The 20,980-nt window shown below is 39.4% G+C and overlaps 1 protein-coding gene across 6 annotated transcripts in view, besides 1 other annotated feature; it reads left to right on the top strand.

Moving 5' to 3' along the window:
* Positions 4,674-4,843: a silencer, noted in NCBI's record as "silent region_14010". NCBI's record gives its function as "represses an Ori minimal core promoter by ATAC-STARR-seq in GM12878 lymphoblastoid cells {active_cell/tissue: GM12878}" and the evidence as "EXISTENCE:reporter gene assay evidence [ECO:0000049][PMID:35858748]".
* The window catches only part of CRBN (cereblon), a 30,085-nt gene continuing 13,985 nt past the window's right edge, over positions 4,881-20,980 (top strand). For 3 of the 6 annotated variants that reach the window (XM_011533791.4, NM_016302.4, XM_047448253.1), the window contains exons 1-5: positions 4,907-4,977; positions 9,329-9,435; positions 10,337-10,539; positions 11,673-11,822; positions 16,805-16,964. In XM_011533791.4, the coding sequence (XP_011532093.1) occupies positions 4,911-4,977; positions 9,329-9,435; positions 10,337-10,539; positions 11,673-11,822; positions 16,805-16,964 (687 nt within the window). In that variant the 5' untranslated portion in view covers positions 4,907-4,910. 6 annotated transcript variants of the gene reach the window in all.

The following is a 20,980-nucleotide window of genomic DNA, read 5'->3' as shown; positions in this document are numbered from 1 at the left end:
ATGGTAAGAAGTAGACTTTTAAAAAAAATGCATTCCTGAATACGTTACTATTTGTCCTGATATATAGGTTGCCAAAAAAGTTTAAAAGATTTTTCCAGTGGGACAAGTTTAGGAAACTGTTTGTAGCCTCTGTAGACTGGGAACTTGAGAATTACCCTGATTTAATTCTAAAGACTTTTTAAGTTAGTGACAGCACGACTAACATAGTTCAAAGAAAGTTGATGAACATGATTCTCTGTGACTGAATCAGAGAGAGCTACAAAGGAGTTAAAGAGCCATAGTTATGATCCTTCATTGTCAAGGGAGGCTGAATATGACTGGGATTCCCCAGGCAGATAACGATGTCCACATAGCCCCATCACAGTGCTGCAAGCACCTCTGCCACTCTATATGTAGGACAATTTATTGTACAAACTGGCACACTTTGAAGAGTGGAATGGGGCAAGGGGTGGGGCTGGTCTGGTAGTTATGCTGATACACCAAACACATACCAGGGTTGTCCTGGGCAAATCCCAATGTGGGGTTGCTCTATCACTTGCTACACACTCATACATGTGGTTGCACACACAAATGCAGGCCAGATCAAGGCAGGTAACACACACACACACACACACACACACACACACACACACACACACACACACACTGGCTGGTTGGCTTCTGTGACCAACAGGGGCTGCCCCATCTAAACCAGGCATTGTTATTTAGTCGGAGATCATTGTTCCCATGCATGAATCTGACTCATGGTTGCCAAATCTTCCCAGTTTTAAAGAGAAGCAGGAAATCAATATTGGTATATGTATTCTTCAATTGCCAAATGCTGGCTGGCAATCGTATAATTCAAATACTCAAATTACCACACAGGGCAAGAAAGTCTCTAGCTTGGGAGGTCACCTGTTTGGGACCCGTGTCTCACAGAGTGGCAGAGGGAACTGTGGCACTGTGAGAGGAACATGCCCGTGGAGCTGCTTACATCTCACCTGTGCTTTTGCCTCAAGGGAGAAAGCATTGGAAGATTTATGCACTTCCAAAATTAATGAATTCATCTATTGAAAAAATGATAACCAAATATGCCTACAAGTTAATCTAGCTTTGCTTTTTCTAAAATCCACAATTTCCTTTAAAAACAATTTTGGATCTTTGGACTAGGTTGGCTGGTTTTATCCATCAAACCAATATGGGTCTTAATCTTCATCCCAGATGGAAGTGGGGAGGAATGATATCTTTGCCTTTCATCATGGAGGAAAATCTCTTCTAAAAGTTATCTTCCCTCTTCATTCTCAGAGGCTACCAAGCTGACTTTCTCTAGGTGTCATTAGCCAGGACCAGATCAGGTGATACCATCAGCCATAGAGGAGCTTGGAGGAATAGAGTGGGCTCGTTATTACAGGCTTACAGCAAACACGACCCCATAGCAGAGTACACTATTGCCCCAAACAAAATCAGAGTTCTTGGCAAGGAAGGAAAGAGGAATTGCTGTTGAGTAGGTAGGAAATCGGTGTCTGCCAGAACTGTGCAATTCATCTTTCATTTAATGAACATTTTTTGAGCAGCTTTTAAATGCCAGAACCTGTTCTTGGGAGCAGAAATTCCCCATTCAGACCTTATACCTTTGAGGGGGGAGAAATGAGACTGTTTTTAAAAGTAAGCCTCACAGTATTTTATTATTCTATTATTATTATTTTGGAGACAGGGTCTCATTACGTTATCCAGGCCTCATAGTATTTTAAAAGTTGAGAAATGCTTTGATGAAGGCAAATGAAGCAGAGAAGGGTAGAAAATGGTGGGAAGTGTGGGAAGAGGGTCACAATCTGACACTGGGTAGTGTGGGAAGGACTCCCCAAGGAAGGGGTATTTGACCCAAGACCTGGAAGGTACAAGGGGAAAAGTCACGCATCTATGCAGGAGGAGAGCACTCCAGCCAAAGGAAAAGGCAATTGCAAAGGCCCTGAGGTGGCCATGGGTCCATGTGGTTGTGGAAGAAGAAGATCAGTGTTGATGGAGGGGAGGGAGAGCCCACAGAGCAGCAGTGAAGTGACATCAGGGCAGGATATTGGGGGCCCACTGTGCATTATAAGGGCCACTGCAAGGGAGATGGGGAGCCAAGGAAGGGTACTGAGCAGGGGAGTCACATAATCTGACTTGTGTTTTAACAGGATCGCTCAGACTGCTTTGTTGAGAAAGCACTGTGAGAGCTAAGGGTAGAAGCCGAGAAACCAGTGTTGGTGCTATTGCCATACTCCAGGCAAGAGATAATCAACCGCTTAGACCAGAGTAGTAGCATTCTTTAACACATTAAAAAAATATGTAGAGGCTGGGCATGGTGGCTCATCCTTAATCCCTTAACCCCAGCACTTTGGGAGGTGGAGGTGGGCAGATTATTTAAGCTCAGGAGTTCAAGATCAGCCTGGGAAACATGACAAAACCCCATCTCTATAAAAAATACAAAAATTAGCTGGCCGTGGTGGCTGGTGCCTATGGTCCCAGCTCCTCTGGAGGCTGAGGTAGGAAGATCACTTGAGCCCAGGAGGTGGAAGTTGCAGTGAGCCAAGATTGCACCACTGCACTGCAGCCTGGGACAGAGCAAGACCCTGTCTCGAGAAAAAAAAATTTTATATATATATATATATATGAAGAGAGACAGAGAGAGAGAAAATACAATATAAAGGGAGACAGAAATGTCCTCTCCCAGTCTATGTGCTCCTTGCTGCTAATATTGTGTAGAAGCCAGAAATGGAAAGAGCGATGGTCCTTTTCATTTACATTTTCTCCCGTCTTCTACCACCCTTAATTCTGTACTATTAAAGTTAATTCTTGAGCTGTAAGACAGTGATCTATGAACATATATATTTCTTTTCCCTCTGGCTTGCAGAGCTCCTTATCCATTGATACTGCACGCAAGCAAGAGGAAATGTTAGGAACAACTCAGTATGATATCTTCTTTCAGGATAAAGTTACCAAATTAAACAAATGGTAAATGACCATGTTTTCCTTTTGGTTTTAATAACCAGTGCTTAATCCAAGAAACCTGCTTGCTTAGATATTTTTGTTCAATGATCATCTGTTATCCCTACTGAAAGGTGTAGCTGTGGATGACTAGGTAGACTCCGGAGGGATAAAATGAAGGAGGGAGCAGGTGGTGAATGTGAAGAGTGGAGAGGAGAGGAGGAGAATTGGGGAGTAAAAGATACACAGATGTGAGCTCCGGTGATCTGTAGCAATGCACAAAAGAACAGAGAAAGAGCCAGTGCTTCTCCAGCCACATTTGTAGACTCCACCAGCCTTGCAGCTGTGCTTTCTCGTCCGGAGAAGTCTTGATTGACCCAGGGTTCAGACAATTCTGGTATCACCTCTGGGGAGAAAGACTGGAAAGTCAGAGCTTACTTATTCAGAAGCTAGATGCTTGTGTAAAGAAAATTCTACTGCACGTAAGCACAGGTTATTGAAATTCTACAAACTGTAGTGAGACATAATGTTACAGCATCAAACACACACACATATTACTTAGTGCATGCTCCCTGCTTGCTTGCGTTCTCTCTCTCTTTCACGTGGGCACACACACACGCACACCAATACACCGGCCATTCCCTCATCGTTCTGTGCTGGCATTCTGGCATAGAATCATCCTTCAATTGACTGGAGTGATCACCTTAACTCCGTTAAATCATTACGTAGTATATGTAATTGTTATTAACCTCATCGTAAAAGGTGATGCTATGATTCATGTTGCAGACATTATTAACTGGAACAAATAGGCGACACTATTTGGTTCGTTCTTATTTTGCAAATGGGCGAATTGAGGCCCGCAGCCATAAGTGATTTGACGAAGACCACAGACTGATTCGGAGACAGGAGGCAAAATGACACAGGAATGATTCACAAGCCTCTGTCACAAGGGAGTTTTCTGCTTGTAACTTATCAGGGAGGCAAATTTTCTGAAATCATTTTTTCAAATCTCAGATCCATGACTTTTCTGTTGAGCAATGCTGCTGCTTCCTCTCAGCCTCCGCCCACCACCACCACTACCATGTTTAGATGTTGTATTTCATTTAAGGATTTTTCAGTTTTCCTTCCTCGCTGAAAAAGTGATACTGAAATACACTACGAAAACTTTTGTCCTCCCTCCAAAACAAATATCTTACCAGTCACAACTCCACCATTATAACAGAATTATCTTCATTTTTTACATAGTCTTTCTTTTTTGCCACAGTGACTTGTTTTTACATAGCTGAAGTCATAATGAGTAGGCTAGTTTATATTCAGACAATTTTATTTACCAATTATAAGGCGTTTTCCATTCTGTGCAATCATCATTTCAAGTATGTTTCTGATTAATACTTGTTAATTTTGGAATGTAATGTACATATATGGAAACTACTGAAGTTATTGAAGTTGTATGTACATACATTGAAACTACTGAAGAAAATCAGCAATAATTCAACCACCCTCGGAATAACTGATGGATTTCCCCAGCCTTCACATATATGCTTCTTATTTTAAGAATTGAAACTAATGCTGCATGAACAGGTTTCTATTTGCTCCCTGCCCCCTTCGTTTAAAAACAAGGTGGAGACTAAAGGCTCTCAGCCTCAGTTTCTCCATATGCAAAATATCAGGATTAAATAAGTCATGCTAAGGGCTGGAACAAAGTGAGGGCTCTGCAGCGTGTACGCCGGGCACTCAGCCGTGGATGGCAGGGGACGGCGTTCTGTCCCCGGGACGGAGCGCAGGCCTGTAATTGTCCCTCCCGCCTAGGCCATCACTTTCAGGCTTGGGTACGCGCCGCCGTCTGCTCCCCTGGGGCCGCCAGGGGGCGCTGTGGCCCCGGTGCGCGGCAGCCGCGCGACACGGGCCCTCCCTCGGAGTCTTCGGCACCGCCCTGTCCCAGCCTCCTTTGCGGGTAAACAGACATGGCCGGCGAAGGAGATCAGCAGGACGCTGCGCACAACATGGGCAACCACCTGCCGCTCCTGCCTGGTAACCGCCCGGAGTAGTTCCCTGTAGTCGGGAGTGGGGCGAGGCTCGGAGCCGCTAGCGGTGCAGCTGGGCCTGGGAGGCGGGCGTGGGGGCGCCAAGCCTGGCGAGCCAGCCCAGCAGGGCCGCACCGGAAAGCTGCTTCACGTCGGCCCTCGGCCAGCGATGGAGTCGCGGCGCTTTCTTCGCTGCTCTGTTGCCCCGAGCCGTGAGCCAGGGTGTCGGGGGGAGCATTTGCTATTAAGAACAGGAAACCCATCCTCTCCATCCTCCTTGTGTTCTGAGTTTAGCTCCTAGGAAATGCTCTGAAACTAGAGGACCGGGTCAGATTCACAGCGGTTACTTTTGCTGGTCTCCTTCCTTTTAATAAGAGTGACAGCTAACATGTACTAAGCACTTACCATGTTACGAGCCGTGCAGTTAACGCTTTGCATGCATGTCGCCTTTTAATCCTTCCCACATCAGTTTTCAGTTTCCGATTTGATAAGCGAGTATTGGATTTGCAGATTAGTTCAATGACTTGCCCAAGGTCACACAGCAGAGTCAGGATTCCAACCCGGGTGTGTCTGTCATTATATCTCTAAACCACTTCTCTGTTTTGTTTTTCTTACTATCGGTCTTTCTCAGGCATGTACGATTATGCTTAATCAGAGATACTTAGTTTTTCTTTTTCCTGTATGTTGTGTGAAATGTTTAGACTTTGGCCTTGTGTTGAAATACTGAACAAAAAAAAAAATGCATGGAATATTGCATAAACTTTTCATGGAATGCCTTTCAAGAGATGCTTTCCAAAAGGTGTATCATCCAAACTTGAAAGTATTACTTGAGTCCCTTCGTTATATGACAAGTATGTTAGGTGTTGTGGAGATGAAACGAGAGGTAATACACAATCTGATAATTGAGGTTTACTGTCTAGGCGGGGCTGCTGAGAATATAACTAAACGTAAATCAACTGCAGAGGCGGTTGATTTAGGGCCAGATAAATGAATGCTGTTGTGGCTCTTCAGAGGCAGAGGTTGTTTAAGGGTCAGAGGATTTGGGAAAAAGCCTTTCAGGTAGATCAGGAGACATCTAAAAGCACATATTTAGGATATGGTTGTGGGACATAAGGCCTAGGAGGTATATTGGGTCTAAGTTGCTGGGAAACTGGCATCTCTTGCCAGTGGGTTTGGGTTTTTCCTGTGGATTGCCAAGAAACAGTTTTAGGTTTCAGGTAATTGCCTAAAGAAATCTATGCTTGGAAGATTAATTTGTCCACTGGTAGCAGCATGGATTAAAAGAGGAAGAGACTGAGTGCGTGCCCACCATATAGGAGAGAACTTTTCTGTAAAAATAAACCATAGTCACTGGTTGTTCTCGAAGCCATTCTAGCTGAGTTGACACAAGGGTAAGTGTGCCAGCCTTTGATGGAAAGCTGAGCTATTTTTTCAGAGACATTAGCCCTACTCTCTGTGCCAAATCCGGTGTTTCAGGGAGAATGGTGAATAGAAGAGGGAGGATACTGATCTTCTGTCGACATTCACATCGTGCCTCTGCATGAGATGAGTCATCAGACTTCACTGATAGCTCTGAACAGTCAGCGTGGTTTTTTGTTTGTTTTTTTTTTGTTTGTTTTGTTTTGTTTTTTGTTTTTCAGAAAAGCGTCGGGAGAGGGCCCAGAGATGGTGTAGATATAGCAATAATGCCTCTCCAAATTACGTAAATTTTATTTGTAGGGAAACACTGGGCTTTCCATAATTCCATGTAGTACGAGTTGTTCTGAAGAGTAAATCCTCTAAGTTCCAACAAAAAGCTTTATATTTGAGATGTGAAGAGTTTATCCTAGGCAAATGAAACATTAATAAACATAACTGAGTAGGGGAAAGTGGTTTTTAGCCATATTTATGAAAAAAAGGTTACTAAAGAAATTATTTAGAGACTAGGAGTCAGAACAGTTAAAATGTAAATTTTTAACAATATTAATTCCAGCCTTTGAGCTAATAGTTTATCTTTTAAACTTTCTGTAGTAGAGCAATAAAGTGGGTTGTGCTGCATGCCAAGTGATAGCCATACTGTCAGAGTTGGAAATACAAACAATTTGATGCAGAATATTTTTGTCATCCATTTAGATAGCTCTTTTTTTATCTCAGTGAAACTTACATGTTCCAAGGAAAATTTGTATGAAGTGTTAGACCATTGGCTATTTACATATAAGTTGAAGTAATTCTGTTTTTGACAAAGTTTTATATCTAGGAAGTTGTAATAATAAATAGAAAGTCCAAGGCAGTTACCATATTGAAAATCATTTTTATTTTCTGTCAGGGGCCTGGCTAGAGGTGGTTTGACTTAAATAATGATATGCAAAGGAAAACAAATGATTATTTCGTAATGACATTTTATCGATTTAGAAGTTTATTTGGGGCATTTAAAAATACATGAACTGGGAGGTGAGAAATGAGATTCAGTAATTCTTTATTGTTAGTCTAGGCCAGGGTCTCCCAACCTCAGCACTGGACTTTTGGGCTGGAGAATTCTTTGGGTGGGATTGTCTCGTGCATTGTAGGATATTTAGCTGCATCCCTGGCCTCTACCCACTAGATGCCAGTAGGACTCCCTTAGTTATTGCAACCAATATCCCCTGAGGGGCAAAATCACCTGTGGTTGAGAGTCACTGGTCTAGGATAGGAAATTTACTCATAGTTTGTATGAAAAGGACAGACTCACAGTTAGTACAATAGCATATGTATTGTGTAGCGTTTTCTAATTTTCTTTGCTGTCATTGGTAACATCTGGTTTTCTAAGACATTCTTTTAAAATGTTTTATGCTTCATGCAAACTTTATTTTTAAATTTAAAATTAAGCAAAATAGTATGCAAATGATTGCAAAATTTTCTTTGTTTCTTTCTTTTGAGATGGAGTCTTGCTCTGTCGCCCAGGCTGGAGTGCAATAGCACAATCTCAGCTCACTGCAACCTCCACCTCCTGGGTTCAAGCGATTCTCCTGCCTCAGCCTCCCCAGTAGCTGGGATTACAGGCACCTACAACCACACCCGGCTAACTTTTGTGTTTTTAGTAGAGATGGGGTTGCAACATGTTGGCCAGGCTGGTCTTGAACTCCTGACCTCAAGTGATCTGCCTGCCTCGTCCTCCCAAAGTGCTGGGATTACAGGTGTGAGCCACCACACCTGGCCTTCATTTTAAGATAATGTAGCGACTGCCAGGGAAATGTTGTCACTAGAAAAATGCTGTGAAATTCTTCCTGCTAGGTTATCTTTCTCTCAGTTTTAATTAACAGATCTTGCCTGCTTTGTTTCTTTTCTTACTTATGTAGGAACTGATTGAAGTTGAGAGTTTGAGAGAACGTTAGAGGTTGACTTGTTGAAGCCTATCATTTTGCAGATGAGGAAACTAAAATTTAATTGGGCAGAATGAGTTGTCTAAGGTGTTAAAATTAGTTACTGGTGAGGGAGAAGAGAAAAATCTCCCATATAGAAGAATTTTAAATAACTTACATTTCCTCTTCAAGGGAGTGGAGCATAACTCATCACCCCTGAAGTGGAGGCTACACCTAGTGATTTGCTTCCGAAGGGTACAATGTGAAAAGGAGGGGGGAAAGGAACTTTACAGCGGAAAAACCTGACACACACTGCTGTAGCCAGGTGATCAAGGTTAACAGCAGGAATAGTTCATAATATATAGGCTGGATATGTAATAAAAACAGCACATTGGCAACAGACCCCATTTCTAAAAAGGAAAAGAATAACAACACTTCACTTCTGTGGTCTTCCTCCCTAAAACACGTATCCTCAGTCTAATCATGGGAATTACATCAAACAAAACCCAGTTGAGGGATACTCTACAAAAGGCCTGACCAGTACTCCTCAAAACTCAGAAACAAGCAAAGTCTGAAAACCCCCCTAGCCCAGAGGAGGGTAGGGGGACCTGATAACTAAATGTAAAGTGGGATCCTGGAACGCAAAAAGACTAGATAAAAACTAAGGGAATCCATTTAAAATATGAAGCTTAGTTAGAGTAATGTACCAAGACTGATTCCTTCGTTGTGGCAAATGTACCATACTAATATAAATTAACTATAGGGGAAAAGGATGTGTGACACACGGGAGCATTCTGTACTATCTTTACACTTCTCTGTAAATGTTAAACTATTCTAAAATTCACAGTTGACTTAAAAAAAAAAAATAGCTACTGACAGAGCCCAGCACGGACCCCAGTCCTCTGGCTCCCTCTTCACGGTGCTGTAGAGTTTACCAAATGCATGTGGTTTTAGAAGTACCCCTCTTTTGAAGAAGGAATTACATGTTTGAAAGGTTTTCATTCATCTTTTTTTTTTTCTTACAATATTCTACTTTTATAGCAGAGAGTGAGGAAGAAGATGAAATGGAAGTTGAAGACCAGGATAGTAAAGAAGCCAAAAAACCAAACATCATAAATTTTGACACCAGTCTGCCGACATCACATACAGTATGTAATTTAGTGACAGATCTAATATAATAGATATACATTTAAATGTAGATAAAAGTTCATAAAAACAAGTGACTGATATTTGTATTACTAGATATCAGAAATTGTGGATGAGGACATGGGCTATTTGCCAGTAGATAAACATTTAACTGTAATTTTTAAGAAGCTTAATACTATGTTGTGGTAGAATTGTTTGAGGAATTGTTGCTCTTTATACTCTTTCTGGTAATTGAGCTATTAAATACTTCTCTGTACTTCTAGGTACTAGAGTGTTATTGAACATACTAACATTTTATACTTACTGTTTGTGATATGTGGGCATAGAGATATTTCTTGGTAAAAATAATACTTTGTACTAAAAAAATTCTTGAATTTCTGTGTTTGTGATATATTCATAAAAGATTAGAAATTCTTCTAAGAGTTAAAGTTAGATTAAAAATTATATTTTAACATGGGATGCTTATATACCACGTTTATTAAGTGTTTGTAACCCCATTTGTATTTTTTTCTTTTTTTTTGAGACAGAGTGTTGCTCTGTCGCCCAAGCTCGAGTGAGTGCAGTGGCACAATCTCAGCTCACTGCAGCCTCCACCTTCCAGGTTCAAGTGATTCCCCTGCCTCAGCCTCCCGATTAGCTGGGATTACAGGTGTCCACCACCACACCTGGCTAATTTTTGTATTTTTAGTAGCAACAGGGTTCCACCATGTTGGCCAGGTTGGTCTTGAACTCCTGACCTCAGGTGATCCGCCTACCTCGGCCTCCCAAAGTGCTGGAATTACAGGTGTGAGCCACTGTGCCCGGCCTGTATTTCTTTTAATGTGATTTGCTCTTTAGTCTGTTGAGCTTACATTTTTATTACATATCGATCATGACACTATACCTATATATGTTTTTATATAGTACCTAGGTGCTGATATGGAAGAATTTCATGGCAGGACTTTGCACGATGACGACAGCTGTCAGGTGATTCCAGTTCTTCCACAAGTGATGATGATCCTGATTCCCGGACAGACATTACCTCTTCAGCTTTTTCACCCTCAAGAAGTCAGTATGGTGCGGAATTTAATTCAGAAAGATAGAACCTTTGCTGTTCTTGCATACAGGTAAAATATTAGAGTCCATTTGCTTAATACATTCCCTCTCATGGGTAATTGCAGTGGTCAGTGTTGAAGCCAAAGCAGGCTGTTATTTCGCATGTACAGGAGAGGTTGGGTAAGAATGTGAGGTTAGGAATTTGGTTAAGTAGAAGTTTGATAGTGCAAGTTGGAGTATTTTTGTTCATTTCATTACCATCTAACTCAGCTCTTCACCTTCATACACAATTTAACTTTCTGGTATTTGAAAAATTTTTAATCATTTATATTTGATGAAAAACATTTCTGGAATCTTAGTTTCAATAACTGTCTTCATTATAGAGAAGTAGTGCTTTTTTATTTTAACGTAAAGGATTACTTTTCCAAAAGAGTGGTCTTTTCTTTCCCTCTCTCTCAAAATTCATAGGTTGTACCACTTTAAATTGAAGCTGAATTTTAAGTATCCCATGGCAAATAAAGGAAATCTGCGGTAGAGGCAGGAAATACATACAGGAAGCTCCCACCCCAGTACAGTGCTGCCAGTAAGCAGCAGAAATGATAAGTCATTTGACAGAGTGAAAGAATGTTTGGTTTGGGAAATGAGTTTAAACCCCTGTAAGTTCTAAATTATTTTCAGTGACTAGAAATCTATTATTTTCCTAAAGTTCTCTAATTGTACTTCCTGAGTCCTTCTTGTATATCCCCCATGTGATTTAAAAATAAATAAAATTGGCCGGGCATGGTAGCTCACGCCTATACTCCCAGCACTTTGGGAGGCCGAGGCGGGTGGATCACCTGAGGTCGGGAGTTTGAGACCAGCCTGACCAACATGGTGAAACCCCGTCTCTACTAAAAATACAAAAATTAGCCAGGCGTGGTGGTATGTGCCTGTAATCCCAGCTACTCAGGCAGCTGGGGCAGGAGAATCACTTGAACCTGGGAGGCAGAGGCTGCAGCAAGCCGAGCTCATGCCACTGCTCTCTAGTCTGGGCAACGCAGCGAGACTCCATCTCAAACAAATAAATAAATAAATAAAATTATCCTAGCTTTGTAGTAAGGGTTGATTCTATAAATTGTTTACCTGTATTTATTGCTTTGCCTACTTTGCATATATTTAAAACTCAAATGTTCAAAATTCTTTCCTTTTAAAATTTTCTTGGAAGCAATGTACAGGAAAGGGAAGCACAGTTTGGAACAACAGCAGAGATATATGCCTATCGAGAAGAACAGGATTTTGGAATTGAGATAGTGAAAGTGAAAGCAATTGGAAGACAAAGGTTCAAAGTCCTTGAGCTAAGAACACAGTCAGATGGGTAAGAAATAACATATACCTTAATGCTCTTTGAATGTTTCCTAATGAAATAGTTTTCTTGTACTTTTTCTGTTCTACTGAGCCTTCATATTTTGTAACTTTTAACTAGTTGTTCTCTTTCCCTTCTAAGGTATAGCCCAGTGGTTTCCAACCTTGCTATGCATCAGAATCACCTGGGAAGCTTTTAAAACTATAGAAGCTTGAGTTCCAACCTCATCTCCCATCTCCAGAGAGTGATGAGGCTGCAGCATCTTTTAAAAATGATTTTCAGGTGATTCTAATGTCTCTCCAGGTTTGAGAACAATCATGTAAATCCAAAGGGAAGTGTTGTTTGGGATTTGGCTTCTTTAGGATTGAAGGCCTCTCGGAGCATAAGAGGATAGGGAGACCAGAGGCTTGTGAGCTGTTCGTGTGCTCACCAGGACAGCTGTGGTTTTTGTAGCATTGCTATGATGTTTGAAAGCCACACTGGTTACATCTGCCTACTGCTCCAGCTGAGCTATAAAAGCCATTTATATTTCGTGTCCCTCTCCAGTGTGAATTTTATATCACCCAGAAATGCTATTTACATAATAAATGATCAATAAATACTTGTAGTCTATGTGCCTTGTGACATTTAGAAATTCCCTGAGTATACTGTTTCAGCAGTAATTCATTTTGACAAAGCTGTCATGGCTGGGTTTTGCACAAATTCAAGGGATACACATTAAAACAGACACAAAAAAGTCCAGTTTATTTTATCCTCTTTTAAAAAGGAAACAAAGCATTTGCCTTGATCACTGGATATTACCTCTTAACGGAGTGCTTCTAAACTGTGGCATCACCCGTGAGGTCTCACAGATACACAGTCCTGGTACGCAATACAAGTACTAGTGAATTGGTTTCCAATTTATACCCACAGTTGAAAATCTCATCAGACCTCTGTGTTGCCCAGGTGGTATCTTCTGAACACATGCAAGTTCTGAGTATTTTGGGGTTTTTTTGGGCGGGGTGGGGGATTAAGACTGAAAAAACAATGTGAGCAGCATGAGGGCAGGAACGTTTTGTCTGTTTTGTTCACATGGTGGGCGTTCCTATATATTTTTGAATTATGAAAATATTGACATGTCAGGTAGCTCCTTGGAGCTAAAGAGAGCATAGAGGCATGTGAGATGGGATTGCCAGAGCTCTTAGGGTGTTTAGTTCTCCCCAGGTACTTTTCCAGAACATTCACTGTGCAAACTTTGATAGCCTTACCACATTGCACTGTCCTGACAGGATTTTATGTACGTCTCCCTCAATAGATAAGCTGCTTGAGAACAATGACCAAGACTTATTTATGTTTTACATTTAGGACCATAAATTTTATATAAATGAATGAAAGAATGATCTCCTGGGGCGGGTGGGGGTGGTCTGCATTATGATAATTAGCAAACTGTTTTGTTACTGTGGATTTTGCTAACAGTTCCATTTTTAAAGTACTTCTTATCTTCATACAATTTTGATTATTTGTGAATACTTTTATAGAAATCATTAAGGAAAATTGACTTGGGGAAAAGTATATTTCTCAGACTGTCTTGACATTAGTGACTTTTGATTGTGGAAAAACTATTGAACACAAGATGGCAGTATACCGTTAACTCTGAAAACAAGACAAGGAATGGATTTTTGACTCTAGTAAAGATTAACATCAGGCCGCGCACAGTGGCTCATGCCTGTAATCCCAGTATTTTGGGAGGCCAAGGCAGGACGATCACCTGAGCTCACGAGTTTGAGATCAGCCTGACCAACATGGAGAAACCCCATCTCTACTAAAAATACAAAGTTAGCCGGGCATGGTGGCGCATGACTGTAATCCCAGCTACTAGGGAGGCTGAGGCAGGAGAATCGCTTGAACCCGGGAGGCAGAGGTTGTGGTGAGCCAAGATGGCACCACTGCACTCCAGCCTGGGCAACAAGAGGAAAACTCCATCTCAAAGGAAAAAAAAGATTAACATCAAACTGATACAGGTGGACAAGACTTGGAAAGGGCACATTCTCTCTAGTATTCTGTAGACCCATTATTAAGGCCTCTCATAAGGGTATGTCTGTCTTCATTTAAAAGGCCTCTGTGGAATGAGATTTCTCTTGGCTCCACTACTTCTCTGGCCCTGTAACCACCTTCACTGGAAATGGTGAAATGAAAGAAATTCTGGAGTTGATTTAGTTCAGTCTCGTCTTTTTCTGTATCAGAATGCCAGGTACTAGAGAGGTTAAGTAATTTGCTTAAACAGCAAATAAGCGACAGACCTGATTGGTTCTAGGTCCCATGACTTCCAAACTGGTACTCCTTCCATTATACCAGAATTTCTCTATAACACATTTGAAACTCAAGCCAGCTTCCCTTTCTCCAGTAAAATATTTAATATTCATTTGTTTTTCTTAGAGAAATAAGCATATAGAAAAATAAAAATTAAAAAATATAAATATCCATCTTTTACCTAAATGACACTTCATTTATTAAAAGTACACTACAGAGGCCAGGTGTGGTGACTCATACCTGTAATTTCAGCCCTCTGGAAGGCCAAGGTATGTGAATCATTTAAGGCCAGCAGTTCAAGACCAGCTTGGCCAACATGGTGAAGCTGCATCACTACTAAAAATACAAGAAATTAGCTGGGCATGGTGGCCTGTGCCTGTAATTCCAGCTGTTCGGGAGGCTGAGGCATGAGAACCACTTGAACCTGGGAGGCAGAGGTTGCACTGAGCAGAGATTATACCGCTGCACTCCAGCTTCGCCAACAGTGAGACTCCATCTCAAAAAAGAAAAAAAGTATACAACCCCCAAAGTCATGAGTGTGTGTGGGTTGGGGAGGGCGGAGGGGGGGTGGGCATCTTCTGAACACATAGAAATTTTTTTTTAATAAAAACAGGTCTCACTGACATAGGACTCTTCAGAAGTTCCTACTTCTTAGCATGTAGAGAGGAGGAGGGGATTGATATCCTATTGGCATCACAAGAGAAGATCTCTTACCTGTCTAGACTGAGACCAATAATTGTTAGTCAAAAAGTTAGCTGAAGCTGGAAATCACAAAATGTTACACATATATAGCTTAAACATTTTATTTTAACTTTATAAATTCATTCATTTTTCATCTGGAGAGACCAAGGTCTTTCCATTGAAGCAGTTCTGCAGATTGGAGATGACTGTAGACTTTCTGGCACTTTCATTGTACATTATCCACAGTTTATACTGCTAGTTTTTCTTTAAAGAGGGATTCTAAAGATAGTCACAAGGCAATTTGAGTGCAGAATTTTTCCAGATTTGTGCGGTTTTTTTCCTATTAGAGTAGTCTGTACCTAATTTGAAAGCAGTTTATGTCTCAACTTAATGTTCCTTGAAGCAGTTTTATTGTTGAAGTCATATTTCACTGGTTTTTATAACATTTATATAAATTATGTTGCTGTAATCACAAAACAACTGTGATAAACAAGTTGGAAAGAAAAAAAACTAGCTTATGTTAAAAACAAAACTCAGCTGCTGGGAGAAGAACCAGCCACTGCATATGCAGTGGACCCTGGCCATGTTTAACCAGGTAAAGGAGAGCATTCCTTAATCCTTCAAGGCAATTCAGACAGTTTGTACTGCAGACTAATTAACATGATCTGTAAGCCAGGGGATCAATAATGTTACTGTTTTTATCATAATCAAATCTTATACAATAGTTGGGTAAAGCATAGTTCTTAATTCAGTTACCTATAACCTTGAAGAATCAGATTTCTAAAAATTTCTATAGGATGGTATATACTTTTACCTTCATAATGTAATTAACAAGTTATTTGTGTTCATGAATCAGGTGAAGAAAATTGAGATTTTGTTTCTAATGAGCTCTAATAATAATATAAGAACACTTGACCATAATTTGACTATAGTAAAATTTTTTAACATTTTCCGAAGTCATGTAGACAAATTTTCTGAGTATTTCTAATGAGTTTGCAGGAAGGAAATAAAGTTAGTAGAGTGAGTCTACTATTATCATTAAATTAAACTTAGATACTTTCTAACACACTCAGTTATTTTTCCTTCTAATAAATAAGTAAAATGTCAGAATTTCATCCATAATATCTTGTGGTCAAACAGTGGTTATTATGAAAGACTACTTTAGAAGTCTTAAGTATAACTAATAAAGCAGAGACTTTTAATATATTTGACTTTGTCAGTCTGACAGTGTTATATACTAGCATTTGAATATAGTTACATATTCTACATTTCAGAAGCTACACTCTAAGAGATAGAATGCCTCACAGGAAGATAGCTCATAGATACAACCTTCCTGTTTGCACTAGTTCATGATAAGATGTTTGCAATTATGATATTCTCAAGTAGCATTTTGGAAATGACTTTATTATGACATTTTAAATAACTTTTAAGAAAAAATCTAATTTATAGTTTGATCCTTTGTACAGTTAAACTCTTAAGAACGTGAAAAGGAATGCACACAGAAAGGTTGCATGTAACTCTCTAGTGTTATTTTAATTCATCCATGTAAATGCATTCTTGATTTTTCTCTTCCTTTCTCTACTTAGATTAGATGACTTATGAGAAAGGATAGATGTAAGAGTTAAGCAGCATAAGAAGTGGGGGGATAGAAGAATTTGGGTGTCTTAAGAATGTTTAAGAAAGTAGAAGTATCAAGCAGTAGTTGGTTGTATGTTGGTTTTTTTAAAACTTTGTTTCATTTATAGACTCTGTATTTATCTGAAATGTGTAGATCTCCCTTTCCATTCCACAGTGACATTGAAGATCCGTACCTTAGGTTATCTTTGGTTTTAACTTTGGTATGATTTATGAAATAAAATTATTTTCTGAAAGTTTCTGTATCTTAACATCAGTATTTGATGAATATGTTTAAAAGATAAAACTTGGAAAATCTTGGTATTTAAAATTATCACTGTTTAGAAACTTATAGTTTTGAGTTAGTCAATCTTAGAAATGAATACCATGCTTGGTTCTCTTTATTTTAGAATCCAGCAAGCTAAAGTGCAAATTCTTCCCGAATGTGTGTTGCCTTCAACCATGTCTGCAGTTCAATTAGAATCCCTCAATAAGTGCCAGATATTTCCTTCAAAACCTGTCTCAAGAGAAGACCAATGTTCATATAAATGGTGGCAGAAATACCAGAAGGTGAGAAACTAATTTTTTATGCATCTTCAAAAAATGAAGACAGGTTGTTTTTTTTCCTGTTTTAAGAAAGAAACACAACTTTCATGATTCATTACCCAGCCACCTTGTATGGCAATATTCCAGCTACATTTGATCCTCTAAAAATTGCACAGGCAGCTACTTTATGTAAAAGCAGTTTACAAAAGCAATAAAATGTCACACAGCTGTAAGGTATCCTTGTTATTATGCTTATCAGCTATATTAATCGCTTTTGATTTTTAATTCCATGGGAAATGCTTATTAAACTATGATCAAATTAGATGTTCGGCTCTTGAGTTATAAACATCCATTATCTTAAAGAAGGGAGGATTCTTTTGGGGTAGAGTAGTAGTAGAGAAGTAGAGTCTGTTTTCCTTCTTCCAAACCAGAGAGAAAGGTTTCTTTTGCTATGTGTTTTAATGAAATACAGTTGACATCGCAGAAATTGACTTGAGACTAGGTGCTCTTTAAAAATGTTGCTTGTTTGGGCACTAATTCCTATGTTATATCCTTTGACTAAATCATAATTGTCATAGGAAAAAAAAATTGAGGGAGCCTGTTTCTACTCGTTTGTGAGATGTGCAATTTTAAGTATAGTTAATATTTATAATTGCTACCTAAAGAAAAAGATTACTAGTTTCTAAATTTAGAATAATTGGGCTTTTTGAGTTTTTTTTTTTAATATGGAAAGACAGTTTCCACTGTAACCTTAAAAATTCTCTATTAATCATTCCTTTGTTGAGTGGTGAGGATTTAATATTTTAATGTAAATACAGAATCCTAATTTAATGTAAATTATTATGGATAATTAATGAAGTGGACTTATATACTAGTCACTGTACCGAATTTTTATTGTTCTTGCAGTAGAATTCCTCCAGTTTTCAGTGAAAACTTGTGCAGAATGGGCACTTGATGGGCATCAGGGTTATAACCAGGTATCTATAAGACTTCCTGGTCTTTATCTCAGTTAACTGATCTGTTTCATGGTACAGTGTGTTTTGACTAGTGTTTCTAAGGAAGATTCTAATAAGGAAGATATAATTAGACTGCTTTAAGACTCCCAAACAACCTTGAAACTAGTATTTTTTAACGTTTAGTAATATTGATACTGCCTTTAGTTAACAGGCAGCTTTTGTGTAGCTGTATTAGTCCATTTTCACGCTGCCGATAAAGACATAACCAAGACTGAGCAATTTACAAAAAAAGAGGTTTATTGGACTTAAAGTTCCACATGGCTGGGGAGGCCTCACAATCATGGCAGAAGGTTGAAAGTCAAGGAAGAGCAAGTCACGTCTTACATAGATGGCAGCAGGGAAAAAGAACTTGTACAGGAAAACTCCCATTTTTAAAACCATCAGATCTCATGAGACTCATTCACTATCACAAGAACAGCACAGGAAAGACCTGCCCCCATAATTCAGTCACCTCCCACTGAGTTCCTCCCATGACATGTGGGAATTGTGGGAGTTACAATTCAAGATGAGATTTGAGTGGGGACACAGCCAGATCATATCACCGTGCAATACTTTCTTCCCCATACCAGATACAGACACTTTAAATACATGTTTACCCTTGTTTCTTTTAACTGAACTGTGAGAAATTTTGCTCCCATAGTCATTTTAAATGTTACTGTTGAAATAAGTATGTCAGTGATCACTGTCAGTATGTGGCCCCCAAGGAGTAGATTTGGAATATATTAAGTCATTTAGTGCCTAAAAGTATGTTTGGCACTGGTTTGCTACTGAAATACGTGGCAAGGTAACTGCATCAAGTTGTTCCCTATGTGTCATCTGAATATTCACGTAGTGATGTATTTCATACTAGAGATTTTTTTTCAGGGGGTACAGGCATACCACGGAGATATTGCAGGTTCAGTTTCAAACTGCTGCAATAAAACAAGTATCACAATAAAGTTAGTCTCATGAGTTTTTTGGTTTCCCACTGCATATAAAAGTTTTATTCACACAATACTGTAGTCTATCATGTGTACAATAAGATTCTATCTAAAAAACAGTGTACATACCTTAAATAAAAAAATACTTTATTGCTAAAAAATACAAGCATCTGAGCCTTCAGTGAATCATAATCTTTTTTGCTGGTGGATAGTCTTGTTTTGCTGTTGATGGCTGCTGACTAATCAGGGTAGTGGTTGCTGAAGGTTGGGGTGACTACAGCAATTTCTTAAGACAGCAACGAAGTTTGCCCCACAGATTGACTCTTCCTTTCACAAAAGATCCCTCTTTAGCATGCGGCGCTGTTTGATAGCATTTAAGCCACAACAGAACTTTCAAAATTGGAGTCAGTCCTGTCAGAACTTGCTGCTGCTTTATCAACTAAGTTTATGTAATATTCTGAATTCTTTGTGTCATTTCAACATTCACAACATCTTCAGCAGTAGATTTCTTCTCAAGAAACCACTTTATTTGCTCATCCATAAGAAGCAACTCCTAATCCATGTTTGATCATGAGATCACAGCAATTCAGTCCTATCTGTGGGTTCCACTTCTAACTTTAGTTCTCTTTTTGTTTCTGTCACATCTGCAGTTACTTAACTGAAGGCTTGAAACCCTCAAAATCGTCATCCATGAGGGTTGGAGTAAACTTCTTCTAAATTCCTGTTAAGGTTGATATTTTCACCACCTCCCATGAATCATGATTATTCTTAATGGCACCTAGAATGGTGACTCTTTTTCAGAAGGTTTTCAATTTACTTTTTCCAGATCCATCAGAGGAATCACTATCTGTGGCAGCTATAGCCTATGAAAAATGTATTTCTTAAATAATAAGATTTGAAAGTTTAAATTACTCCTTGATCCATGGGTCACAGAATGGAAATTTTGTTACCAAGCATGAAAACAGCATTAATCTCCTTGTATGTCTCCCATCAAAACTTCTGGGTGACCATGTACATTGTCAATGAGCAGTAATAATTATAAAGAGTCTTTTCTGAGCAGTAGGTCTCAACAGCAGGCTTAAAATATTCAGTAAACCATTATCTAAACAGATGTTCTGTCATCCGGACTTTGTTCCATTTACTACAGAGCACAGGCAGAGTAGATTTAGCATTCTTAAAGGGCCCTAGGATTTTTGGAATGGCCAGTGAGCATTGGCTTTAACTTAAAGTCACCAGCTATTAGCCCCTGAAAGGAGACTTAGGGACTTTCTCTGGATTAGGCTTTGGCTCAACGGAAATTTGTGGCTGGTTTGATCTTCTGTCCAGACCATTAAAACTTTCTCCATATCAGTAATAAGACTTTTTGGCTTTCACCAGAGTAGCATTTCATATTCACAGCTTTGCTGTTTGCCCCAGGAGGCCTAGCGTTTGGCCTCTTTCAGCTTTGACATGTGTTTCTAACTAAGCTTTATCATTTTTAGCTTTTGATTTAAAGTGAGAGATGCTTGACTACTCTTCTTTTCACTTGAGCACTTAGAAGCCATTGTAAAGTTATTAATTAGCCTAGTTTCAATATTGTTGTGTCTCAAAGAAATAGGGAAGCCTGAGGAGAGGGAGAGAGATGGAGGGGCTCGTCAGTGGAGCAATCAAAACACATTTGTTAAGTTTACTGTCTTAAATGGGTGCAGTTTGTGGTGCCCCAAAACAGTTACAGTAATAACATCAAAGTTCACTAATCACAAATCATCATAACAGATATAACAATGAAAAAGTGTGAAATATTGTGAGAATTACCAAAATATGGCACAGGCAGGTAGTTAGCACATGCTGTTGGAAAAATGGCTTGATAGACTTGCTTGAAACAGGGTTGCCAGAAATCTTTAATTTTTTTTTTGTTTGTTTGTTTTTAAAGGCAGTATCTGTGAATCACAGTATGCCTGTATTAAGTATTTGGGTATATAGAATAGTTCTTCCGCACCAAGATGGCTTAAAAATTCTTAACCATTAAAAATCCTAAATTAACGCTTCTTTGCAAAGTTCTAAGTATAGAGTGAGAGCAGTGGTAGTTAATTCCTGACTCAAGTGCTCTGTACAGCTAGTTCTG

This window comes from Homo sapiens, chromosome 3 (genome assembly GCF_000001405.40).
Source record: "Homo sapiens chromosome 3, GRCh38.p14 Primary Assembly".
NCBI classification, from domain to species: domain Eukaryota; kingdom Metazoa; phylum Chordata; class Mammalia; order Primates; family Hominidae; genus Homo; species Homo sapiens.
The sequence above is the reverse complement of the archived record's forward strand: the minus strand, read 5'-3'. Positions and strand labels throughout refer to the sequence as shown.